This window comes from Homo sapiens, chromosome 9 (assembly GCF_000001405.40).
Source record: "Homo sapiens chromosome 9, GRCh38.p14 Primary Assembly".
Classification (NCBI taxonomy): Eukaryota; Metazoa; Chordata; class Mammalia; order Primates; family Hominidae; genus Homo; species Homo sapiens.
This window is the reverse complement of record NC_000009.12, coordinates 132346877-132363313: the sequence shown is the minus strand read 5'-3', so window position 1 is coordinate 132363313 and position 16437 is coordinate 132346877. Positions and strand designations below refer to the sequence as shown.

Sequence of the window (16437 nt, the reverse complement as noted above, 5' to 3'; positions counted from 1 at the left end):
CTCAGGCTATTTGAAATAATTACTTTTTGAGGTAATTGTGACCACAAAGCATCATTTTTACATGAGAGCTGTATATCATTTTAAATTACTCAAATGATGTCTTGGTTTGAAGCATAAATCCCAGATATTTAATGCTTTTAGTAACATAGTGTCACTGTGAGGTGGAGCAGGGAGATACAAATAATTAAAGAAAAAAAAATTGATATAAATGAATGATGAAGTGGATCTCACTGCAGATTATATTTTGAGAAATCCCTCTTTTGGATGCCAGAGGGCACCTGCAATCTGAAAAACAATCCAGTAAATATATTGTGTTTCCTGTTTTGTAGCAGATAATTGTCAGTCACCAAATAGTATCTTTGGTACTTGTCATTATTGGATACAGTATTTTTATGAAAGGCATTTTGCTCCTGCCTTTATTTTATTTTATTTATTTATTTTGAGACAGAGTCTCATTCTGTTGCCCAGGCTGGAGTGTAGTGGTGGAATCTTGGCTCACTGCAACCTCCACCCCCTGAGTTAAAGCAATTCTCCTGCCTCAGCCTCCCTAGTAGCTGGGATTACAGGCATGCACCATCACGACCAGCTAGTTTTTGTACTTTTAGTAGAGACAGGGTTTCACATGTTGGCCAGGCTGGTCTCGAACTCCTGACCTCAAGTGATCCACCTGCCTTGGCCTCCCAAAGTGCTGGGATTACAGGCGTGAGCCACCGTGCCCAGCCTTTATTTTTATTTTTATTATTTTTCGGGAGATGGAGTCTCGTTCTGTCACCCAGGCTGGAGTGCAGTGGTGAGATCTTGGCTCACTGCAACCTCTGCCTCCGGGGTTCAAGCGATTCTCCTGCCTCAGCCTCCTGAGTAGCCGGGATTACAGGAGTCTGCCATCACACCTGGTTAATTTTTGTATTTTTAGTAGAGACGGGGTTTCGCTATGTTGGCCAGGCTGGTCTCGAACTCCTGACCTCAGGTGATCTGCCTGCCTCGGCCTCCCAAAGTACTGAGATTAAAGGCATGAGCCACCGCATCCAGCCTCTTTTGCTTATTTTTCACTTTAGATTCACTCTCAAATTCTTTTGTACAGTGAAGTCAAGAACCTAAACTGGCCCACCAACAATAGAAATAACAATATAAAGAGAGAGCAAAGCAAAGATTTTGTATGCTATTAAAACTAAATCAGGCTGGGCACGGTGGCTCACGCCTGTAATCCCAGCACTTTGGGAGGCTGAGGCAGGTGGATCACGAGGTCAGGAGATCGAGACCACCCTGGCTAACACGGTGAAACCCCGTCTCTACCAAAAATACAAAAAAAAAAAAAAAAAAAAAAATTAACCGGGCGTGGTGGCGGGTGCCTGCAGTCCCAGCTACTCGGGAGGCTGAGGCAGGAGAATGGCGTGAACCCGGGAGGTGGAGCTTGCAGTGAGCCAAGATCTCACCACTGCACTCCAGCCTGGGCAACAGAGTGAGACTCTGTCTCAAAAAAAAAAAAAAAAACCATATTAATCCTACAGGATTATTATAAGCTAAGATGTACATTGTAATCTGCAGAGCAACCACTAAGAAAATAATTCAAAAACATATTGTAAAACAAATGACAAGAGAATTAAAATAGTATACTATAAAATATCTATTTACCACAAAAGAAGGCAGCATTGGAGGAACTGAACAAAAATATATAAGACATACAGAAAACAAATAGAAAAATAGCAAAAGTGACATCTTTTTAAATCAGTAAATACATTAAATTTAAATTGAGTAAACTCTTGAATTATAAAACAGATTGCAGATTGGATTAAAAATGATCCAATTGATGTGCTGTCTTCAAGAGACTCACTTTTGGCTGGGCGCAGTGGCTCAAACCTGTTATTCCAGCACTTTGAGACGCTGAGGTGGTCAGATCACCTGAGGTCAGGAGTTCGAGACCAGCCTGACCAACATGGAGAAACCCTGTCTCTACTAAAAATACAAAAATTAGCTGGGCGTGGTGGCACATGCCTGTAATCACAGTTACTCAGGAGGCTGAGGCAGGAGAATCCCTTGAACTGGGGAAGCAGAGGTTGCGGTGAGCCGAGATTGCGCCATTGTACCCCAGCCTGGGCAACAAGAGGGAAACTCTCTCTCAAAAAAAAAAAAAAAAAGACTCACTTTATATTTAAAGACATAAATAGTTAAGAGAAAAACATTCTTTGCAAATAGTAACCAAAACAGAGCAGAAGTAATTACACTAATGTCAGACAAATTAGTATAATTTGTAGCTTGTTACAAATTATTGTTACAAAAATTGTTACAAGGAACAAAGGATATGATATAATGATAAAAGCATCAATCCATCAGAAGATATAACTGTCATAAATATATATACATATATATAACCTATATATATATAAAATCCATATATATATGTGTGTGTATATATATACATATATACCTAACAGAGCCCCTCAAAAAATGAAGCAAAAACTGATAAAATTGAAAGGAGAAATAGATGTACAATAATATTTGGAGACTTTAACACCCCATTTTCTTTTTTTTTCACTTTTCTTTTCTTTCTTTTTCTTGTTTTTAAAGACAAATCGCTTTTGTTGCCCAGGCTGGAGTGCAATGGCATGGTCTTGGCTCACTGCAACCTCTGCCTCCTGGGTTCAAGTGATTCTCCTGCCTCAGCCTCCCGAGTAGCTGGGACTACAGGTGCCCTCCACCACGCCCAGCTAATTTTTTTTTTTTTTTGAGACGCAGTCTAGCCTTGTCGCCCAGGCTGGAGTGCAGTGGCGCGATCTTGGCTCACTGCAACCTCTGCCTCCTGGGTTCAAGCGATTCTACTGCCTCAGCCTCCTGAGCAGCTGGGATTACAGGCACCCACAACCATGCCCAGCTAATTTTGTATTTTTACTAGAGATGGGGTTTCACATGTTGGTCAGGCTGGTCTCAATCTCCTGACCTCGTGATCCACCCGCCTCGGCCTCCCAAAATGCTGGGATTACAGGCGTGAGCCACCACGCCTGGCCTAACACCCCATTTTCAATAATGGATGTAACACTCAGACATAAGATCATTAAAGAAACAGAGGAATTGAATGACACTATAAACCAACTAGCCCTAACAGGAATATACAGAACATTCCAACCACCAGCAGCAGAATAGACATTCTTCTCGTGTGCACATGAAACATTGTCTAGAACAGGTCATATGTTAGGCCTCAAGCAATTTTCCATACATTTAAAAAGGTTGAAATCATGAAAAGTATATGCGCTGACCACAATAGAATGAAACTGCAAATAACAGAAGGAAGACAAAAAAATTCAAAAATATGTGGAAATTAAACAACATGCTCTAAAACAACCAATGAGTCAAAGAAGAAATCAAAAGGGAAGTTAAACACTTTGGGCTGGGTGTGGTGTCTCACACCTGTAATCCCAGCACTTTGGTAAGCCGAGGTGGGAGAACTGCTTGAGCTCAGGAGTTCGAGGCCAGCTTGGGCAACATAGCAAGACCTTGTCTCTACTAAAAAAAAAAGAAAAAATCAGCCAGGCATGGTGGCATTTGCCTATAGTCCCAGCTACTTGGGATGCTGAGGTAGGAGGATCGCTTGAGCCCTGGATATCAAGGCTATAGTGAGCTGTGATCATGCCACTGCACTTCACCCAGGGCAACAGAGAATGATTCTGTCTCAAAAATAAATAAATAGATAAAATAAAATACTTTGAGACAAATGAACACAAAAATACAACATACCAAAATCTATGGGATGTAGCAAAAGCAGTGTTCCAAGGACAAATTATAGCTGTAGACACCTACATTAAAAAAGAAGAAATATCTCAAATCAGTAACCTACTCTTTTACCCCCAAATGGCTGTGGAATTTGTTTGCTTAATGCATAATGGTCCTGGCAAAAATCAGTTAACCAACACTGAGAGATTTGTAATGAAAAACCAACTTTAAATATTCATTACACCTTGATAGAAATTAGAGTTTACACAAACAAAAAAAGAAACTTTTGATATTGTCAGTCAATATAAAATGAATGTAATATGACTGATAGCATGGCAAGAAGGCATTTATACATTTTTCTCTAACATCTGACCACAGTTTAAGTTGCCATAATATCTTCTCTCCAGATAAAAATAGTATACTGATTTCTATAGCAAAGATTTTCTTGTACAAAAATCAAACAATGGATAAGTCACAACCGTAAAATATATATAGGATTAAAAAAACACATCAAACAGGTTCTGAAACTAAAGAACAACTAGGAGGAGGAGGAGGATAGAGCCCTTGTAGGGGGCTTGTTTTCATCCACTTGAATGTGTGTGGGGTTTGTCTTCTGAGCCACAAGTTCTGACTTGTCTCATAAAAGCCAGTTATTCTGACCAAACTTCTAAGTAAACACACAAAACACTTCTAATATTAAACATTGAAATAAATGTAGGCTATACATTCAAGAAAGATTAATAAAAGACTAATCTTTATTAATAAGATTAACAAGGTAATAATCTACCCACTCATTCCAGTTCAGGATCGCGGATGGCCAGAATCTTTCCTGGTGCCAGGTGGGTGCCAACTCTGGACAAGATGCCATCCCTTTGCAGGGTATACACTCACACACACACCCATGCTCACTCAGGCTAGGACAATGTAGACATGCCAATCAACCTAACTGGCACATCTTTGGAATCGGGAAGGAAATTGGAGTACCTGGAGGAAACCCACACAGACATGGGGAGAAGGGGCAAACTCCACACACAAAGTGGCCTCGGGGCCAGGCACGGTGGCTCACACCTGTAATCCCAGCACTTTGGGAGGCTGAGGCAGGCGGATCACGAGGTCAGGAGTTCAAGACCAGCCTGGGCAACATGCTGAAACTCCGTGTCTACTAAAAATACAAAAATTAGCTGGGCGTGGTGGTGCGTGCCTATAATCCCAGCTACTCAGGAGGCTGAGGCAGGAGAATTGCTTGAACCGAAACCTGGGAGGCGGAGCTTGCAGTGAGCCAAGATCGCATCACTGCACTCCAGAGCCTGGGCTACAGAGGGAGATTCCGTCTCAAAAAAAAGCCTTGAGCAGGAATGGATTTTTTTTTTCTCATCAATGTTATAACAAAACCACATTGAACAAAATGATCTTATTAGAGAACCTGCTATACTTAATATTGTTAAGGTGTCAATTGATTCCCCAGATGTATCTAAAAATACAATTCAATCCCTATAAAAATTCCAACTGCTTGTACTTATTTATTTGCAGAAACGGGACAAGCCAATTCTAAATATTCACATGGAATAGCAAGGGACCTTAAGTAGCTAAAACAATTTTGAAAAAGAACGATACTGGAGGCCTCATACTTCCCAGTCTTTTTATTTATTTATTTATTTATTTATTTATTTATTTATTTATTTATTTATTTATTTTTGGAGATGAGGTCTCACTCTGTCGCCTCGCCTCTCGGGTTCAAGCCATTCTCCTGTCTCAGCCTCCCAAGTAGCTGGAACTACGGGCATGCACCACTAAGCCTGGCTAATTTTTGTATTTTTAGTAGAGACCGGGTTTCACCATGTTGGCTAGGCTGGTCTTGAACTCCTGACCTCAGGTGATCTGCCCACCTCAGCTTCCCAAAGTGCTGGGATTACAGGCCTGAGCCATTGCGCCTGGCCATGTTTATGGTTTTATCAGCTTTAGAAGTTTGTAATTTGTACTTATTTATTCATTCCAAATAAGTATTAATTTTCATTTCTAATTTTATATTTACAAAGTCTATTGCAGTGCTTCTGTTTAACATTCTATAGGTTGTGTAAGTTTTGGGCTCAACAATTCCTGAATGCACCTTGAATCAATGAGTCTCAGGACATAACATTGAGTGTAAAAAGCAATTTGCAGAAAAATACATCCTCCATAATTCCATATACAGAGTTAAAAAGCATGTAAAATTTATATGTTGTTCACAGACAAAAAATGTGGGAAGATGATAAGGCCTACAGAGGGCTTCAGGGACAGGAGGAAATTATGACTTTTGTGGGCTCTGGGCACAAGTTACCTTCATGGCACTTTTCTCCATTAAAAAAAATGATAAAAATTATATTTTATGGCCGGGTGCGGTGGCTCAAGCCTGTAATCCCAGCACTTTGGGAGGCAGAGGCGGGCGGATCACGAGGTCAGGAGATCGAGACCATCCTGGCTAACACGGTGAAACCCTGTCTCTACTAAAAATACAAAAAATTAGCCAGGCGTGGTGGCACGTGGCTGTAGTCCCAGCTACTCGGGAGGCTGAGACAGGAGAATGGCGTGAACCCGGGAGGCGGAGCTTGCAGTGAGCCGAGATGGCGCCCCTGCACTCCAGCCTGGGCGACAGAGCGAGACTCGTCTCAAAAAAAAAAAAAAATTATATTTTATGACTGTGGTGGTATAAAGGCTGTGTTGGTATATTAGTGTTATATGATAAAACAAAATATGTTCAAAATATTTGACAGGATGAAGAAGTAGAAAAGAGGAAAATAACGGTCAACGCGTGCTGCTCCTTAGACGGTTAAATTTGCATAACGGCCACCACGCCCTTCCAACAAGCCACGCCCCCTTGCTAGAATCTTCCTTCGCCTTGGGCCTTTCCCGCAGTGTTCCCCTGGGCTTGCTCCTCATCCTCGGGCCAGGGTTCTCCTCGGTAAGGCTGTATCTGACCCACTTTTCCCAAGCTGGCCCATCTCAGCCTCTTTTTTTATCGCCTGAGTCACCACTACTAATTGTTTAATTTCCCTGTCTCCTCTATTAACTGTAAGACGGTGACGCTGCATCATCGTGGTCAGTAGTAGGCGTTACTAAAAGGGGGTAGGGGCCGGGTGCGGTGGATCACGCTTGTAATCCCAGCACTTTGGGAGGTCGAGGCGGGGCGGATCACTTGAGGTTGGAGTTTGAGACCATCCTGGCCAACATGGTGAAACCCCATCTCTACTAAAAACATGAACATTAGCCGGGCGTGTGGCACACGCCTGTACTCCCAGCTACTCGGGAGGCTGATGCAGGAGAATCATTTGAACCCAGGAGGCGGAGGTTGCAGTGAGCCGAGACTGCGCCACTGCACTTCAGCTTGGGTGACAGAGCGCGACTCCATCTCAAAAACAAAAAAGGGGGGGGATAGGCTTTCCAGTGGATTTTACTCATTTTTATTTATTTATAGACTTTTCTGAGACAGGGTCTTGCTTTGTTCCCCAGCCTGGAGTGTAGTGGCACAGTCACGGCTCACTGCAGTCTCGATCTCCCGGTCTCAATGGATATCCACCCCCTGCCTCAGCCTCCCAACAAGCTGGGCCCACAGGTGCTAATTTTTTTTTTTTTTTTTTTTTTTCCGGAGAGAGAGTCTCGCTCCTTTGCCCAGGCTGGAGTGCAGTGGTGCGATCTCGGCTCACTGCAACCTCTGCCTCCCGGGTTCAAGCCATTCTCATGCCTCAGCCTCCTGAGTAGCTGGGATTACAGGCACCCGCCACCACGCCCAGGTAATCTTTTTATTTTTAGTAGAGACGGAGTTTCACCATGTTGGTCAGGCTGGTCTCGAACTCCTGACCTCAGGTGATCCACCCGCCTCGGCCTCCCAAAGTGCTGGGATTACAGGCGTGAGCCACCGCGCCCGGCCTCGGTGGCTGAGTTTTAATTTTTTTTTGTACATACGGGTGTCTCGCTATGTTGCACAGGCTGGTCTCTGAACTCCGGGCTCAAGCGAGCCTCCCGCCTGGGCCTCCCAAAGTGGTGGGATTAGAAGCGGGAGCCACCGCACCAGCGAGGGATTTACTCTGCTGTGTTGCGCATCGCGCGCATTGTTCGCAAGACCTAAGGTCTCCCTTTCTTGTAATATAAAGGATATACACATATTCCTCCGAAATTACACGTTTATGTAATTTACATTTCAGGTCTTTAAAGGAAATCTAAAGAGAAAAATTACTTCGTCACCGTAGTACATCCGCTGAGACACCTGAGGCGTGGAAAAAAGAAGAAAAAAGAGGGAACGGAAATGGCCAGCGGGTAAGGGCTGACCCCACCCGCAGCAGAGCTCATCCCGGAGCCGCCCCACCCGCAGGAAGCCCCGGGCGGGGCCGAGGTCAAGGTTCCGCGGCAAACTCTCCCCGTCCACCCTGACGGGGACTCGGGATTGGTCGGGCCCCAGCTGCCCGGACGTGACGCCAGCGCCCGGCGTGGGCGGTGCACCGCGGCCGCTCTTCCCATGCCCCGCCCCCTGGGGGGCACCAAAACCAGAAAGCAGCGGCCGGGGCGGGGCCTGCGGCCGGCCGACTCAGCGCGGGGGCGGGGCCTACCTCGCGGCAACAGCTGGTTGGTAGCTGCGGCTGCGGGCCCGCACTTCCGCTGGTGGCCTAGAGCGGGGCCCGGTATGGAGGTGGGCTAGAGGCCGACGCCAGCCAGAGAGCGGTGAGGGTAGCGGCGGGCTGGAGGCCGTAGGTCGGGCGGGCGTGAGCGCAGGCGCGGCTTGTGCTTGCAGGGCCGCTTCGGGGAACCATCGCGGCGCCTAGGTCCCGGTGGGCGGATGGGGGAAGAGTCGGCGCGGGCTCGGCCGCTTCCCTCGGTGCGGGGGCGGGAGCACCCCTCGACGGCTGGCGGCCGCCTGTTGCCTTCCTGCGCGCTGGACCCGGCCGCTGCGACCCCCTGTCCTTCCGTTGTCTACACTGCGGTCTCGTGTGAGCTGTTTTTGGTGTGGATACTGCGTAGTTTCCTTGGGGCTGAGCGGGAGGTCTCGGGGTGGAAAGTGTCGGTTCCCTCCACACGCTCGTCTGCCTCTCGCCTGGAGTCCCTCCCTTTGTTTTTTTTTCTTTTTTCTTTTTTTTTTTTTTTTGAGACGGGGTCTCGCTCTGTCACCCAGGCTGAAGTGCAGTGGAACAGTCACGGCTCGCAGCAACCTCGTCTTCCTGGGCTCCAGCGATCCTTCCGCCTCATCCCCCCGAGTAACTGGGACCATAGGCGCGCGTCACCACGCCCGGCTAATTAAAAACAAAATGTGTTGCAGAGACAGGGCCTGGCTGTGTTTCCCAGGCTGAGCTCAGCTGCTCCAGGGATCCTCCGAGCCGCCGCGCCCGGCCGGTCCCTTCGTTTGGAGGAGAGTCTGTTTCTCCCACTTGGAGGGGCTGGAGCTTTTGCTGCTGGCCACAGGACTTTGTCCGTCCTCCCCAACTTCTGGGGATCTAAGGATGTGCCCAGCAATTTGCACGACCCAAGTGAAACGGGGGTGACTGCCTTGAGGGAAAAGAGCTCCACAAGGAGAAGGCCGAGTGTGGTATTTGATAAGTGACACAGCTGAGGATCCTAGGATTGATGTTACCTGCGCGGGCTAATAACTTGGGGGATTTTTGGCTCGGTGCCTAGCTGTCCCCGTGAGTGGGGACAGCCCCTTGTGGAACTGGGAGTCAGAATTGCAGTTCTGCTGTTTCCTGGAAGTCCACAGCCAAGTTGTCTAACCTATCTGGGCTTCCTCATCAGCCAGCAGTATCTGTCTGTAATAGGATCGATACCAGGCTCAGATGGGATATAGAGTATAAATGCCACTTACCAATTTCGTTTTTTGTTTTTTAATTTCAGAAATGTTCTTTTGGGGCCAGAGTCTGGGCATATATGAATGCAAATCCGTGTTTGTTCACAACTAAGCCCAGCTGAGACGATCACTTTTCTGTAGGCCATTTGTCCAGGTAATAATTTTTTTTTTTAGCAGGAGTTCAGAGCACCAAGGTAAGTGCAATGATGGAAACATGTGCAGAGTCCTAAAGGGACAGAGAAGAAGGTCATCAGAGATAGACTGGAAGAGAGGACGGGTCGGACAGGCCCCCCCCCCAGACGTGATGACACTCAGGAAGAGCTTGCACACTGGTTGTTCTCAAATCCAGCTTTCTCTTCGAATCTTAGTGGAGTTCTTTAAAAGGGAAACAATTTTATCCATAGGATCTTTTCTACTTTTTTTTTTAAGTTCCTGAGGTAAGTCTGATGTGTATTCACAGTTAAGTACCGGGCAGAGGTAGGAGGGTGGGTTTCCAAGGCCAGTGGAAGAGCTTCCATAAAGGCAGGGAATACCAGTCACCATGAATGGTTTTAGGAAGAGCAAGTCAAGGGAGGTAAGTGTGGAGGAAAGAGATGATGTGGAAGCTGGATCATCGCGGGCCTTGTGTGTGTTGAGCTCAGCAATTTGAATTTTATCCCAACATTGGAGGAGGAGTCATTTGTGCTTTCGAAGTCCAGTTTGGGGCTTTGGCCTCTGGCAGCATTTTGGAGGAGGAATTGATGGCGATCAAAGAAGAAATAGATCATTTAGGCTTCTTCAGTAATCCAGGCAAATGATGAAAATGTACTGAACTAAGGCAGTGGCGGTTGCACTGAGAAGAAAGTAGAGATGTAATTAAGGGGTAGGCTCTGGAGCTCAGAGATTGCGGCTGAGGGAGAAGGAGCGTATAGGATAATTCCTAGGTTACTGGTTTGAAAATTGAATGTATGGTAATGTCATCAACAAGGGAATATAGAACAAATAACAGATTTAAGGGAAGGACTTCGTTGGGTTCTGGTCATGTTTACTTTGAGGTGCCTGTCAGATATGTGAGTAGAGATACACTGTATGCAGTTGGATATTGAATATATCTGGAGTTCTAGGCTAGGCTGTCAGTTATTGAGTAGGTGGAACAGTGCATCATTTCACTCAACCTCCCCAGTAGCTGCGACTACAGGTGCATACCACCATGCCCAGCTAATTTTTATATTTTTAGTAGATACGGGGTTTCACCATGTTGGCCAGGATGGTCTTGATCTCTTGACCTCGTGATCCCTCACGCCTCGGCCTCCCAGAGTGCTGGAATTACAGGTGTGAGCCACTGCGCCCTGCCTGCATTAAGTTTTACAATACATTCTCAGTCTGGGCAGCTTCAATCTAGGCAGTAGTTGAAGCAGTGGTTTGAAGTAGGCCGCCCAGAAAGAGTACTGAATGAAGAGGTGAGAATTCTCAGGACAAGCCTTCGAAAACTTTAGCATTTATATGAGTAACAAAGGCAGGGGTAATTATGAAGGTGATTGGGTAGAAGTGGTGTCCAAAAAATGGTGTGTTGTAGGTAAGGAAAGGATGGGCAGCATTTTCATATGCTTTAGCAGAGTCAGGTCAGGAACCTATTGGATTGGTAATGTAAAGATTGTTAGGGACTTCACATTCAGTGGAGTGTAAGGGTAGAAGCCAGAGTGCAAAGGAGCTGAAGAGCTGGGAGGTAGTGAATCTAAACTTCCAGATGTTTAGCTGAGAAGTGTAGAAGAAAGAGATTGTTATTTGAAGTTTCTGGCTAGTTAATGTTGAGAAATGGATAGCCTAAGGATAAGTCTGTAGAAAATTACAGTAATACCTATGGTGAAGCATCCTATATTTTTGGTTTTGACACATTAGCTCTCTTTTTGGTGGGTGCTCAGAGAGTTGCTTTAATTTTGGTTTTGCAACTTGAGTATTGTCTGGACACACCCATTTGTCATTCACTAATGATTGCAAGCCGTTACAGTCTGATGAAACTAACAAAATAGACCTCAAGAAGAACTGAGTTGTATAAAAGCTTAAGAGGATTCACAGTAGTTTAGAAGCAATAATTTTCTCCTTAAAGACAAAATATGCCCTATTGAGGTTTCCTGGGCTTAGCCATTAGGCCAGTGATGATTTTAAATTTGAAGACAAAACCACACACACAGCCTTTTGAAGAAGAACCATGGAAGCACATGTTCTCTTGTTGGTGTGCTCTGCAGCAGTATTCTCCGTTATCTTCTAGCGGCCATGACACTCACCTATTTTGGTAGTAACTCCTATATATTTTGAGAAAATTTAGTCTTGCTTTTTTGGTTGTGGAAATAGGCTAGTTTTCTAAGTGAAATAAAAAGCAAATTCTGTAATTTTCTTAATAGAAGGTTTCTTTTGTTGTCTCCTTTGTTAGTACTTATTTTAAAGTACACAACATTTGGAGCTTCAAGTAAGGTAAGTGGGAAAAGAAGTATGCAACATTTTATTTGCATGGTAGTCTCACTTAAGTTTTTTAAAGCTTAAATTGGCTGCAGTCTGTTAGCTGCTGAAATCATGCTTCAAATGTTTGAGAAACCTCCATGAAGTTTCACTTTCTGTTCTTACGTCTTCTAAGTTCACTTTCCATATTAAACTAGGTTACCGGAAAAAAAAACAGCTTCTGCAAGCTGTTAACTTACTAGTAGTGTGATGTTGGCCTCTTAGGTATAAGTAATTCTTCTTTTGAATAAAATAATTTTAAATTCTGCAGAAATACATTGAAGACCTTATCCCATGTTACTTGGCATTTCCTAGTCTGCAGTGCCCTTGTACTAGAAGGCATTAATAAAATGTAATTGAGTTAGAGTTTGTGTCAGGAAAGGGCGGTACTCTGCGGCTATCACTGCATACTCTTTTTCCCCCCCACGTCGATGAGAACTGTGTAACTCATGTTATCCTTTTTCTCTGCTTTCAGGAAGCTCCTCATGTAGAACTTAGTGAAATTAAATTTCTTCTAAAGAAGTTTTGATTTTGTTTTTTGAAATCTCATTTTTAAATGTCCTTTTGTGTGTATGTACTTTAATGTTGAAAGCTACCCTAAATTCTTTTTAGAACCATGAAGAAAGTATACCTCTTCAAAAGCATAAGTAAAAGTAATATTTAATAAATTTTAAAAAATCAATTCATATGACAATGTATTTGATTATGCTTATGCATTTCTAAATAATTATTTAATTGTGGGTATAAGAAGAAATTAAAGAATTTTAAAAAATCACTTTATTTTAGGAACTAGCTTTATGCCACAGAAGCCTCAGCAGCCAAGCCTAGTTTCTGTTGAGATGTTTTATATTTCCTGTTGGTAAAGATTATGTATTCTGAATTTTAGGGTGACGGTGATACTCAAAAATCTCACACTGCCATGTTTCCATTCCCACATACTCAGTGTCTTCACTTAGGTTTCTTTTGTTTGTTTGTTTTGAGACAGAGTTTCACTCTGTCACCCAGGCTGGAGTGCAGTGGCGCAATCTTGGCTCACTGCAACCTCTGCCTCCCACGTTCAGGCAGTACTCCTGCCTCAGCCTCCCAAGCAGCTAGGATTGCAGATGCGCACCACCAGCTAATTTTTGTATTCTTTTTAGTAGAGATGGGGTTTCACCATGTTGGCCAGGCTGGTCTCGAACTGCGGACCTCAAGCAGTCTGCCCACGTCGGCCTCCCAAAGTGCTGGGCTTACAGGCATGAGCCACCGTTCCCAGCTTACTTAGGTTTTTTAACCTCCTTCTAACCTTTCTCCCTGAGTGGAGAGTTTTTAAACATTTTTAAAAACTGCCTCTCCTGTGAATTTTATTACCACCAATATATTGTGTCTCTCTTTATGTACTGTATGTTTATCTGAGCTTTATATCTAAAAAGAGGAGGGCTTTTTCACGTCCCACTAACTAGTTTTAGATCTCTTTGAGGGTGACATCACTCCTGATGAGAATGCTGAGCTAGGTCCATTCAGTTTATGAAATGAACTTAAGTTTGTAGTTGGTAACTTTTTTCCCCATTCCAAAATCTGTACTTTGAAAATATTGGTAAGTCTGGGTCTCTATATATTTTCTATCGGTACTGTGTTGTTTTGAGCCTTCTCTGTAGCACAACTTTATGTTGCCTTATGATACTTATTCCTTATACAATGCTTTTATTTTTCTGTATTTTTCGTATGTCAAAAATAGAAGGATTTTTTTAGTTTAGTGAATCAGTGATTGATAAGCCAGCCAGCAGAAGATTTGGGTTTTAGTGACACATTTTAAATTGAAACCAGGGTCACAAGTTGAAAGTGTACCTATTCTTGACACACAGTAGGTCTGAAGTTGGTTTTCTTCTTGATGTCATCTTTTCTGGCTGTAGGTACAGAATGAGCACATGTTGTTGGTGTACGCCAGGTGGTGCTTCCACCATTGACTTCCTAAAGCGCTATGCTTCCAACACTCCGTCCGGTGAATTTCAAACAGCCGACGAAGACCTCTGCTACTGCTTGGAGTGTGTGGCTGAGTACCACAAAGCAAGAGATGAATTGCCATTCTTGCATGAGGTAAAATATATTAGATGGGCAATATTTTTCAGAGCTTGATAGCTGGGAAGAGAGTAAGTTTGAACTCCGTTGGAAGTATTCAGAGAAATGATGATACGATTTCAACTTTGTGGGTTTTTTTTTTTGTTTTTGTTTTGTTTTTGTTGTTGTTAGAGATGGAGTCTCACTCTGTCACTCAGGCTGGAGTGCAGTGGAGTGATTATACATATATCATTTTACACATTCGAGTATATTCTTAGGACAAATTCCTGAAAGTGGAAGTGCTGTCTCATGATTTTCCATGGGCCACATGGGTTTTCATAGTTTGTTTTGCTATGTTTTGGAGACAAGGTCTTTGCTCTGTTGCCCAGGCTGGAAGTGCAGTGGTGCGATCACGGTTCACTGCAGCCTCAACCTTCTGGACTCAAGCCATCCTCCCACCTCATCCTCCTGAGTAGCTGGGACTACAGGCATGTGCCACCATGCTCTGCTAATTTTTAAAATTTTTTTGTAGAGACGAGGTCTTATTATTTTGCCCAGGCTGGTCCTGAACTCCTGAGCTCAAGTGATCCTTCCGGTTTGGCCCCCCAGTGTTGGAATTACAGGCATGAGCCACCATGCCTGGCCGACTTTGAAGGCTAATATAAGTCAAGTACCTAACTCATTGCCTGGTATATACTAGGTGCTGAGTAAATGTTTATCACGGATGGAATTGAAACCTGGATCAGAATTTTATGATCTGTTGCTTTTAGTCACATTGGTATAAAATAATTTAATGAAATAAAGTCATTGGGAGGGGATTTGTTTCATAATTTTTTGGTCAGTGCTATAATACATGCATGTATCTGAGTATCTGAATGGCCTGGGTTTTTGTTAGTGGGTTGTTTTTTTTTTGTTTTGTTTTTTTTTTGAGACAGAGTCTCACTCTCTTGTCCAGGCTGGAGTGCAGTGGCGTGATCTTGGCTCACTTCAACCTCTGCCTCCCAGGTGGGTTCAAGCGATTCTCCTGCCTCAGCCTCCCAAGTAGCTGGGACTAAAGGCACGTGCCACCACACCCGGCTAATTTTTTATTTTTAGTAGAGATGGGGTTTTACCATGTTGGCCCAGCTGGTCTCAAAACTCCTGACGTCAGGTGATCTGCCCACCTCGGCCTCCCAAAGTGCTGGGATTACAGCTGTGAGCCACTGCGCCTGGCCAGGGTTTTTTTTTTTTAATTGGTAATAATAACTTCTTTTTTTCTTTTTTTAATGGGCAAATGGCATAAACCTTTAAGGGCAAGCATATTTTCCAGTCATGATAACAAAAGTGAAAGATATAATTCTAAATATTTGGCTTTGAATATTTGGTTTATTTATTGATGAAAAACAGAACGTAGACCATAGAGATATATACAGTATATAGAGGAGAGGATGATTAGTAATGGACTTGTGTTGAGAAACGTGCACTTTATAAAGTTTTCTAATTATGAAGCTATCCAGCGTCTTTTATACCACAAGCTGCACTAAGGTAGTTAGCTATGGCTAGAACATAGAAGGGAAGACATAGAAGGGCCTCGGTTTTGCATTTGACAGAGAGGCTCCAGCTTCTCTTTTTTTTTTTTTTGAATGTAGTTGATAGGGATGTTGAGATATTTATAGAAAACTTCTACAAGAGAAGTGTTTAAGGCTGAGTGCTGTAGCTTACACCTGTAATCCCAGCACTTTGGGATGCTGAGGCAGGTGGATTACGAGGTCAGCAGTTTGAGACCAGCCTGGCCATCATGGTGAAAGTCCGTCTCTACTAAAATACAAAAATTAGCCAGGCGTGGTGGTGGGCGCCTGTAATCCCAGCTACTCAGGAGGCTGAGGCAGGAGAATCGCTTGAACCTGGGAGGCCAAGGTTGCGGTGAGCTGAGACCACGCCATTGCACTCCAGCCTGGGCGACAGCGAGATTCTGTCTCAAAAAAAAATAAAAAGTGTTTAAACATAGCATACTATTTTTTGTTTTCTTGTTTTTTTTCGTTTGTTTGGTTTTTTGTTTGAGATGGAGTTTCCCTGTTGTTGCCCAGGCTGGAGTGCAGTGGCGTGATCTTGGCTCACTGCAACCTCCGCCTCCTGGGTTCAAGCGATTCTCCTGCTTCAGCCTCCCGAATATGGGATTACAGGCATGCACCACTACGCCTGGCTATTTTTGTATTTTTAGTAGAGACGAGGTTCCTCCGTGTTGGTCAGGGTGGTTCTGAACTCCCGACCTCAGGTGATCCGCCCACCTCAGCCTCTCAAAGTGCTGGGATTACAGGCAGGAGCCAGTGTGCCTGGCCTGTTTTCTTTTTCTCTTAGAGGCAGGGTTTCCCTATGTCATCCAGACTGGAGTACAGTGGCACAATCATAGCTCACTGTAGCTTCAGATTCTTGGG

General features: G+C 44.1%; 1 protein-coding gene across 13 annotated transcripts in view, besides 7 other annotated features; it reads left to right on the top strand.

The window, feature by feature from the left end:
* SETX (senataxin) overlaps positions 6570 to 16437 on the top strand; it is a 95389-nt gene continuing 85521 nt past the window's right edge. For 7 of the 13 annotated variants that reach the window (NM_015046.7, NM_001351528.2, XM_011518406.3 and 4 more), the window contains exons 1-3: positions 8328 to 8397; positions 9559 to 9665; positions 13879 to 14062. In NM_015046.7, coding sequence (NP_055861.3) covers positions 13886 to 14062 — 177 coding nt within the window. In that variant the 5' untranslated portion in view covers positions 8328 to 8397; positions 9559 to 9665; positions 13879 to 13885. Of the gene's footprint in view, positions 6644 to 7191; positions 7295 to 7883; positions 7996 to 8327; positions 8678 to 9558; positions 9666 to 13878; positions 14063 to 16437 lie in introns of those variants that run through there. The other 6 variants (XM_047423023.1, XM_011518405.4, NM_001351527.2 and 3 more) reach the window with 4 other exon arrangements.
* Positions 7544 to 8743: an enhancer, noted in NCBI's record as "CDK7 strongly-dependent group 2 enhancer chr9:135229958-135231157 (GRCh37/hg19 assembly coordinates)". NCBI's record gives its function as "activates an origin of replication core promoter dependent on BRD2, BRD4, P300/CBP, MED14 and CDK7 cofactors, with strong dependence on CDK7, by STARR-seq in HCT116 cells {active_cell/tissue: HCT116}" and the evidence as "EXISTENCE:reporter gene assay evidence [ECO:0000049][PMID:35650434]".
* Positions 7544 to 9064: a biological region, named in NCBI's record as "CDK7 strongly-dependent group 2 enhancer GRCh37_chr9:135229958-135231157".
* Positions 8029 to 8418: a silencer, noted in NCBI's record as "silent region_20430". NCBI's record gives its function as "represses an Ori minimal core promoter by ATAC-STARR-seq in GM12878 lymphoblastoid cells {active_cell/tissue: GM12878}" and the evidence as "EXISTENCE:reporter gene assay evidence [ECO:0000049][PMID:35858748]".
* Positions 8063 to 8562: an enhancer, noted in NCBI's record as "H3K27ac hESC enhancer chr9:135230139-135230638 (GRCh37/hg19 assembly coordinates)". NCBI's record gives its function as "activates a minimal SCP1, AML or CMV promoter by ChIP-STARR-seq in naive H9 embryonic stem cells {active_cell/tissue: H9 hESC(naive)}" and the evidence as "EXISTENCE:reporter gene assay evidence [ECO:0000049][PMID:30033119]".
* Positions 8469 to 8678: a silencer, noted in NCBI's record as "silent region_20429". NCBI's record gives its function as "represses an Ori minimal core promoter by ATAC-STARR-seq in GM12878 lymphoblastoid cells {active_cell/tissue: GM12878}" and the evidence as "EXISTENCE:reporter gene assay evidence [ECO:0000049][PMID:35858748]".
* Positions 8563 to 9064: an enhancer, noted in NCBI's record as "H3K27ac hESC enhancer chr9:135229637-135230138 (GRCh37/hg19 assembly coordinates)". NCBI's record gives its function as "activates a minimal SCP1, AML or CMV promoter by ChIP-STARR-seq in naive H9 embryonic stem cells {active_cell/tissue: H9 hESC(naive)}" and the evidence as "EXISTENCE:reporter gene assay evidence [ECO:0000049][PMID:30033119]".
* Positions 12072 to 12121: an enhancer, noted in NCBI's record as "active region_29217". NCBI's record gives its function as "activates an Ori minimal core promoter by ATAC-STARR-seq in GM12878 lymphoblastoid cells {active_cell/tissue: GM12878}" and the evidence as "EXISTENCE:reporter gene assay evidence [ECO:0000049][PMID:35858748]".